Source organism: Homo sapiens, chromosome 2 (assembly GCF_000001405.40).
Source record: "Homo sapiens chromosome 2, GRCh38.p14 Primary Assembly".
NCBI lineage: Eukaryota > Metazoa > Chordata > Mammalia > Primates > Hominidae > Homo > Homo sapiens.
In genome coordinates this window covers 207,751,417-207,760,835 of record NC_000002.12, presented here as the reverse complement: position 1 = coordinate 207,760,835, position 9,419 = coordinate 207,751,417, and the positions used below count along the sequence as shown (strand labels likewise).

The 9,419-nt window shown below is 41.6% G+C and overlaps 1 protein-coding gene and 1 non-coding gene across 4 annotated transcripts in view; both read right to left on the bottom strand.

The window, feature by feature from the left end:
• The window catches only part of CCNYL1 (cyclin Y like 1), a 44,535-nt gene continuing 39,777 nt past the window's right edge, over positions 4,662 to 9,419 (bottom strand). For all 3 annotated transcript variants that reach the window (NM_001330218.2, NM_001142300.2, NM_152523.3), the window contains one exon: positions 4,662 to 7,248. In NM_001330218.2, the coding sequence (NP_001317147.1) occupies positions 7,138 to 7,248 (111 nt within the window). In that variant the 3' untranslated portion in view covers positions 4,662 to 7,137. The remainder of the gene's footprint in view (positions 7,249 to 9,419) is intronic.
• MIR4775 (microRNA 4775) lies at positions 5,955 to 6,029 on the bottom strand. The gene has a single exon (NR_039934.1). It is a non-coding gene; the product is annotated as a microRNA 4775 (primary transcript).

The window sequence follows — 9,419 nt, the reverse complement described above, 5'->3', positions numbered from 1 at the left end:
AGTAAGCTATTTTTTTTTAAAAAAAATAAGCTTTTAATTTTGGAATAATTTTAGATTTACCAAAAGTTGCCAAAATCAGTTTCTGTATGCCCCTTACTCATTTCCCAACGTTAACATTTGTTAAAACTAAGCAGTCAATGTTGGCACATTACTATCAACTGCAGACTTCATCAGATTTTCCACTAATGTTCTTTATCTGTTCCAGGATCCAGTGCAGGACACCACACTGCCTTTAGAGAAGCTTTGTTTTTCACAGGCACTTTCAGCTGATGAGAGGCAGGTGGGTTGGGGACCACATTGTGAGAATCACTGGGACATTTAAAGAACTGGACAAAAATTGCTGCATCCCCAAACTGGGGAGATGAATGCAATTTTAAAGCAGAAGGGAATAAAGTAGTGGAGGGTGGATATAGAAGGTTGATTTTAGAGTTAGAGATAGAATCCCCTCCACTAGATGAGGAGGGTTACTTTAAAGAAGGCATCTAATGCCAGAGGAAATAGTAGATTTTGGAAGGTGCAGTTGCCACTTAGTCCACAGCCTAGATTGAGGATACATGACTAGGGTTGTGAGCAGGTCAGGAGATCGGGTAAGTGCAGTAAGTTGGGAACAGCTGCTTTGGGGAACACAGGTGGGCTCAAATAGGTGATGAAGGGGAATTACAAGAGGCCTGTTAGCCTGTGAGCCTCATGACACCTGCATGTCCTGGAACCTGATGCTAATGCTTTGGCAGTGGGTCACAGTGACCAACATCAAGCATTGCCACATTGGGTCAGGGTGAGGCTGGGATGATTTTGTTGAGGGAGGGTCCTAAGGATCTTCACCTAAGAGTGAAGGAGCAGGTGGAAGACCAGGTGTGTAAAACACTTGAAGCTCCTCCTTTGTCAGAGGCAGTTCTCATGCCGAGGAGACACAGGAGCCACCAGCTAGGGGGTGGCAGGTAAACATTTGTAGAATTGAGGTTAAGAAGACAAAGCAACAGATTTTCTTTTTTTCCGTAAAGCTAACAGTCTAATTTGGGAATCTTTTGAGGTCTTTTGAAGTAGATACTACTGATAGCTCATTGAAGACCTTAGGTTCTGGGACCATTACTGAATTTTCCTAATCACATTCCAATTGCTTTGCTCCCTTACAGCAGTTATAATAATCACCAAACCTGTCCCTTTTTTTTTTTTTTTTTTTTGAGATGGAGTTTCGCTCTTGCCTCAGCCTCTTGCGTAGCTGAGATTACAGGCACGTGCCACCATGTCAGGCTAATTTTTGTATTTTTAGTAGAGACGGGGTTTCACCATGTTGGCCAGGCTGGTCCCGAACTCTTGACCTTAGGTGATCCACCCGCCTCAGCCTCCCAAAGTGCTAGGATTACAGGCGTGAGCCACGGCGCCTGGCTAAACCTGTCCGTTTTTAAAGACTGTTAACCTTTTTTCACTGGACTCGGGATTCCTCTTAATTTCTATACCATTTCACTTTCATAGTTAGTTGTTCTTCCTGCACCCTAGATATCCTAAACCACAAACTAACACTCTTAAAATTTCACATTTAAGTGCACGTTCTCCCACTTGCCAAATAGTTTAGATGGAAATTGCCTTAGAAACCAAACAGATTGCTCCTGTATACTAGGGGAGCAGGCTTCACTGAAGAAGGGCTGCTAGGTATTGCTTGCTGGCACAATGTCAGTCAGCCCCAGCCAGGTCCACCAGATGGGTAAGTAGGCAGAAATTAGACTTTAAGGTAATACAATCCTTAATCTGTTGAGAGATGCTGGGTGTAATCTACAGTTTCTGCATAGAAACTAGCACTTATCTGGGAGATTTCTCTGCCAGCTGTCAAGTGCTTTTCCAAGTAGTACTATACTCAGTAAGCCTGCTTGAGGCTGGTGTGGTGGCTCATGCCTGTAATCCCAGCACTTTGGGAGGCTGAGGCGGGCAGATCACCAGGTCAAGAGATTGAGACCATCCTGGCCAACATGGTGAAACCCCGTCTCTATTAAAAATACAAAAATTAGCTGGGTGTGGTGGCACAAGACTGTAATCCCAGCTACTTGGGAGGCTGAGGCAGGAGAATCGCTTGAACCTGGGAGACTGAGGTTGCAGTGAGCCAAGATCGCGCCACTGCACTCCAGCCTGGTGACAGAGTGAGACTCCATCTAAAAAAAAGCCCCAAAAAACTCCAAAAATTAGCCGGGCAGGGTGGCACATGCCTGTAATCCCAGCTACTCAGGAGGCTGAGGCAGGAGAATCGTTTGAACCCGGGAGGTGGAGGTTGTAGTCAGCCGAGATCATGCCACTGCTTTCCAGCCTGGGTGACAGAGCAAGACTCCGTCTCAAAAAAAAAAAAAAAAAAGAAAAAGAAAAAGAAAAGAGAAAAGAAAAAAGCCTGCTTGAGAGTCTGTCATAGCTATCTTAAACGTAGTTAGGGAGAAAGGCTGGGTGATGAAAGATTCTAGTTAACCTGCATACTGTAGCTAAACTAGTTCCCAGAAATACTGCAGAGCCTGAACACAGAATCAAGACTGATTTTGTTTTCTGGTTAAAATTGGCTTTGGCTTAAAAAAAATCAAGGTATACTTAGAAATGCAGGAAAACTAGACCAAGAAATGAACCTTGAGCTGTTGTAAAGCCAGGATTTAGTGCTGTTGGATTTCAATCATGTATAGACATATGGATTACATAAAGAGGAAATGTAAAATAAAGGGCCAGGATAAAATTTCTCTTTAACCAGAAACACTGAGCCCTAAGTGGTCATTTTAGGATGAAACATATGAAATTGCCAAAAGGCAACCAAAAGGCCTATAAAAATGGCAATTTGGTTCAAATATATCTTTCATTTTCTTAACTCTTCACCCCCAGACTCCTATCAAATATGTTTCAGGTATTCTGTCTTGTAATGAAAATGTGAAAGTTCAATTCACAATATACCAAAGTTAATATTCTATTGGGGTCTGTATTATAGTAGTTAAAAAAAACCTACAAATGAAAATAAATTTGAGTCCAGGTAATCAGCCCTTTTTTAAAGTCTCATGTTAGGGAACGAATCTTCCCTAGGTATAGAACTCTTGAGAAAAATGCCATAGTTACCACCCCACTAGCAACTTGGTTTCCATGCCCCATTTGTCAGAGAACCTACCTGCTTTTCAGTGACATTTATACTCTTTTCCTCAACTGACCCAATTTCCCATTTATCAAAGTCGCTGTATTGCCTTCTAGAATTAAAAGTCAAAGGAAGAGAGCAGCTTAGTGATACTTATTTTACCAACTTGTTCTTCAAGTCACAGATTCATGTCCAATGTCCCTCTCCCAACTTTTAAACCTTTGGCCAAATGTGTCAGCATTTCTGCTTATAACTGGCATATCACAGGGTGCAAACCATCTTATAAAGTGACGTATGATAGATTTTTTTCCTAAGTTAGATCTTTTATCCTAGTCGGCAACTTATCAAGACACAGTGATCAGTTAGTTTTTGTTTTTTTGAGACACAGTCTCATGCTGTCGCTCAGGCTGGAGTACAGTGGTGCGCAATCGCGGCTCACTGCACTCTGCCTCCTGGGTTCAAGCGATTCTTGTGCCTCAGCCTCCTGAGTAGCTAGGATTACAGGCGTGTGCCACCACGTCCCACTAACGTTTTTCTAATTTTATTTCTTTTGAGCCGGAGTTGCAGTGTCGCCCAGGCTGGAGTGCAGTGACGTCATCTTGGCTCACTGCAACTTCCGCCTCCAGAGTTAAGGGATTCGCCTGCCTCAGCCTCCCGAGTAGCTGGGATTACAGGCGTGCATCATCACACCTGGCTTTTTTTTTTTTTTTTTTTTTAAATAGAGACGAGGTTTACCATGTTGGCCAGACTCCCGACCTCATGTGTTGTGATTACAGGCGTGAGCCACTGCACCGTCTTTTTTTGTAATTTCAATAAAGACGAGGTTTCACCATGTTGGCCAGGATGGTCTCAAACTCTTGGCCTCAAGTGATCGACCCACCTTGGGCTCCCAAAGTGCTGGGATTACGGGCGTGAGCCACCGTGCCTGACTGTGATCATTTACTTAAATATTTGACTTTAGGTAATGAAGAATTAAAGTGGATGAAAATATTGCAATGCTATCAGGATTTATTGAGAATTGCTAAAGCTGAGTGGCTAGACTCTTAGTTCTAAAGAAACCTAATAGTGACTTGGTATATTTTTAACTGAAATGTAAGCTTGAAAATAGCACATTAAAGTCAAATTATGTGGCTTAAGACATCCTCTCAACAGCAACACAAATTCTAGTTCCTGTCTTTCCATTCTCTTTCCTGTTTGTCTGAAAACCTCAAATACCTCTTGTTCTAATTCTACGCTATTCCTTTAATTCCTTTCTCTTTGATACATTTTGCTTAATTTTATATTCTAATGTGCTTTTCCCTCTCAGACACGATAACCAACTATTCAAGATGCCATCTAATGCACTATGCCATTAAGTATTGTGGTCAGTGATTTTAAGTGTAATAAATTATCTTCAGGTTGAAAAGAGCATATGCAAAAGAAATGGATCACTACATCTTAACTAGAGGCATGGATCAAATCAACTTATGGTTGGTTTGAAAATGCTTTAAGACATATCAGGATTGACTTAAAACTAGGCTGGGCAGAGATGTAACACTATGTGGATAGAAGTGTTACAAACACACTAGCCATATTTTAATTAAAATAGAGTTTATTAGCTTTTAATATAAACATGAGAAATAAAAACCACATAAATTGTAGCATTCTTTTCAAAATAAAACTGCAATCAATACTTGAATCTCCAAACTCTGAATTCCATAAACAATATTTGTTTTTTTGAGGTGGTAGATTGTAATATTTGTATACCATTATTTATCATTTATGTCTCTGTCCTTTAAAAATGATGGAAACTGCAGCACAATATGATGTGAAGCATTGCTATAATAGAGGAAGTACTCCTGTCCCAGAAATGCTTTGTTTATAAGCAAGATTCCTAGGATTAGATTTGAGAAAGTAGGAGAAACAGATTTCACATAGTTGAGAACACTAACCTCTTCTTAGTATTTCAAATTTAGGTGACATTATCGGTCTCCTAAAATTATTTGCTCCTTGCCTTTTAAAGCCTGAAGAGTTCCTAAGGGTTATGTAAGTATTTCTTAAATAGCAGGACTTAATGGGACACCTACAGCTTGGTAGCATGTAGGATGATAAAACAGCTGTTCATATCACCTTCTATAATTAGGGTCCAATTCCTTTTATTACATGTTAATTAACACTGCTCTTCAAAATCTTCCTTTAAAGAAACTGCGGTAATCAAAGCATATAGAGCACAGCTCTGCGGGTAACTACTTTTAAAAAGAGGGCATTTTATGGAGATACAAGGTATTCCAAAAGTTCAGTGTAATTTTAAGCTTTGATACTTGTAGAAATATAAATGCTACAAACCTTTACAAAACCTTGTCTGAACATTTTTCTTCTGCTTTTTTCTTTGAGACAGGGTCTGGATGTCGCCCAGGTTGGAGAGCAGTGACATGATCATGGCCCACTGCAGCCTTGACCTCCTGGGCTCTACTGATCCTCCCACCTTAGCCTCCAGAGTGGCTGGGACTACAGACACATGCCACCATATCCAACTATTTTTATTATTTTTTTTTACAGGCAGGGTCTCACTATGTTGCCTAGACTGGTCTTGAACTCCTGCACTCAAGCAATCCTTCCACCTCAGCCTCCCAGGGTACTGAGATTACAGGCATGAATCACTATGCCCAGCCCATTTCTTTTGCATTTAATTTTGCATTTTTCTAAGAGATGGGGTCTTGATAACGTTGTCCAGGTTGGAGTGTAGTAGCTATTCCTATAGGCACCATCATGGTACACTGCAGCCTCCAATACTTGACCTCAAGCAATCCTCCAGCCTCAGCCTCCCAAGTAGCTGGGACTATAGGCGTGCACCACCACACCCAGCTTCATTTTGCAAATTTTGAATATAAAGCTTTTAATTTTTTGTTTCAGTCAATGTCTGCTATCAAGAGTGACCGAAACAAAAAATTAAAAGCTTAATATTCAGGAGACAGGTGCCAGTTGCACTTGTAGTCCCAGCTACTTGTGTGGCTGAGGCTAGAGGATGGCTTGAGACCAGGAAGTTCTAGGCTGCAGTGAGTGCACAATGATTGCACCTGTGAAAAGCCACTGCACTCCAGCCTGGACAACGCAGTAAGACCCCCATCTCTTTAAAAACAAACAAAACAAAACAAAAAACTTTCAAATCATGTTTTTTAAAGGTTTATAGCATTTATACTCATGCTGCAGTGCCTTGGAGGGCCCAAACTATATTCAAGCTTAAAACTGCTTCACTTTTTCTCATCGTCACTGAACCACCATGTTGGTTGGCATTATGAAAATATCTTTTAATACATTTATTTAGCAAGAGAAAAATTATCAGAAAATGAGAAGCACCATTTATAGTTCACAAGAAATGCAACATGGACTCCAATAGAAGTAGATATCAATAACTGATACTTCCTCTGTTTATGACCCCAAACATGCTAAAATGCTAAAGTAATGCTTGCAAAGAATATGAATGACAAATGTTATCCAGCAGCTTTTTGGTTTAAAATGATTGCCAATGACTAGCAGCTTCAATGGTAACAGTAGGGAGGAAGAACCCTTCAGTACCTAACAACGCTGCTGTCTGCTCCTAAGTGGCTTTAGTTAGAGTCCCATGTTTTAATGGTAATACTGCATTGATTTTAAAGGCATATGCAGCAAAATGCGGGGGGAGGGAGAGAAACTGGAAGAAACATAAAAGTTATATGGTTAGTGTCTTTAAAGTCTAAAAATTTAAACTATTGTTTAAAAAACCTTACATAGTTCACAGCTATCGGCCCACACAGTAAGCAAATATCTGTGTGTAGGATGGGAGCCTTCACTTTGGAGTGGTTTTTGTAACTCTGTTTACATTAAAAAGGACAGAAGAGTGTTTTGTTGCATTGACAAGGTCCCATTCTTTCCTGTGGAGTATAATCCTTGTTGTCCATGAGTCTCTTGAATTTGAGATCTTTCCTTTTGATGAAAACACTAATTTTGCTGGTTTTTGAGCAGGAAAGGTGGTATTTCTCCAGTCTTTGTAGATGAAGGTCCCATGACGTTATAACCCCTCATTTCTCCTTTTAAGAGAGGATGGCTTTAGAGCGCTGAATACCAATGAAGTTATCAGCACTGAAAGACCTTCTCATAGCGGCTCTACACAAGTCTTTGTCTTCACACAATCTAGAAATAGCCTAGGAAAGTCAATCAAATAGAAAACAGGTACAATTTTAAAAAGGGTTCCCGCCTTTGAAAGAGCACCATTGTGAAAGCCACACATGTGGACTCCTTTAGATAGTTCACAGTTACAGCTACTTTGGCTGAGTTTTACACTGCCAGGTTGTGGGGACACTACTTCCTGACAGTTCACCAAGGTAATATCCTTTAAGGGCTATGGTTAGATTCCCAGAGAACAAAGGGGAATTTATTATATTATTAAAAAACTGGATTCCCAAAGATATCAAAGGTATTGTGATAGGGCTCCTAACAGCAATAGCATCTGTTATCTGTTAACTTATTCCTTAAATATAACAAACGTACACTTGTGCAAAAAAATGTTTATTCAGCTATTCAAATTCTACCCAATCCTTATTAGCTATTATATACTCAAAGCACATTTTAATGAGGCAGGTGTGTGCTGGACTATACTGGAACATATGAGCGGTCTGATGACTGACGCGCCAAAAGGTATTACTTCACATGCACGTTAATTATGGTAGAAATACATATTATTATTTTTTTCTTTTTTTTTTTTGAGGCAGAGTTTCGCTCGTTGCCCAGGCTGGAGTGATCTCAGCTCATTGCAACCTCTATCTCCCAGGTTCAAGCGATTCTCCTGCCTCAGCCTCCCAAGTAGCTAGGATTACAGGCATGTGCCACCATACCCAGCTAATTTTTTGTATTTTTAGTAGAGACAGGGTTTCACCATGTTGGCCAGGCTGGTCTCAAACTCCTGACCTCAGGTGATCCCGCCTGCCTCGGCCTCCCAAAGTGCTGGGAGGAATGAGCCTCTGAGGCATGAGCCACTCTCAGGCATGTGCCACTGAGCCCAGCCTAGAAATACATATTATTCTAAAGTACCACCAAGGTACCACAGAAAGTGTTAGTTTAAAATATGTGTCCATTTCAGTTGTAATTCTGCTGTATACTCACCAAGAGTCATAAGCCATAAATATTACTTTGCCCCATAAAGTTACCATTTCTATTAAAAACCCATGTACTTCCTACATTATTATTTTTTTTTTTTTGAGACAAGGGTCTTGCTCTATCGCCCAGGCTGGAGTGCAGTGGCATGATCTCGGCTCACTGCAGCCTCCGCCTCCCGGGTTCAAGCAATTCTCATGCCTCAGCCTCCTGAGTAACTGGGCGTCTGCCACCACGCCCGGCTAATTTTTGAATTTTTAGTAGAGACCGGGTTTCTCTGTGTTGGTAAGGCTGGTCTTGAAGTCCTGATCTCAAGTGATCCACCTGCCTCGGCCTCCCAAAATGCTGGAATTACAGGTGTGAGCCACCATGCCTACCACTTACATCCAGCATTTGAAACACCTGCATCCTATACAGTGAAGGGTATAGGTCTCTTGGCTTATCCACTAATCCTTTGTCTAAAAAACTCATGGGACTGCACTGTGATACATAAACCATGACATGAATTTGCAAACAGTAAGTAAGACAGTCAAGAGTGGCAAGTGAATTATGTATGTAGATAAAATTAGGAATACAGTCGCAAAGAAAAAATTTTTTTTTTTTGGAGACACAATCTCACTCCGTCACCTAGGCTAGAGTGCAGCGGTGCAATCTTGGCTCACTGCAACCTCCGCCTCCCAGGTTCAAGCGATGCTCATGCCTCAGCCTCCCAAGTAGCTGGGATTACAGGCATGCACCCCCATGCCTGTATTTTTGTGTGTGTGTACTTTTTTTTTTTTTTTTTGAGATGGAGTTTCGCTCTTGTTGCCCAGGCTGGAGTGCAATGGCACGATTTCAGCTCACCACAACCTCCGCCTCCCGGGTTCAAGCGATTCTCCTGCCTCAGCCTCCCGAGTAGCTGGGATTACAGGCATGCGCCACCACGGCCGGCTAATTTTGTATTTTTAGTAGAGACGGGGTTTCTCCATGTTGGTCAGGCTGGTCTTGAACTCCCAACCTCAGGTGATCTGCCCTCCTCGGCCTCCCAAAGTGCTGGGCTTACAGGCGTAAGCCACCGCGCCCGGCCTGTGTGTGTATTTTTAGTAGGGACAGGGTTTCACCATGTTCGCCAGGCTGGTCTTGAACTCCTGACCTCAAGTGATCTGCCCACCTCAGCCTCCCAAAGTGCTGGGATTACAGACATGAGCCACAGTGCCCAGCTAAAAAAATTATTCATGTATGG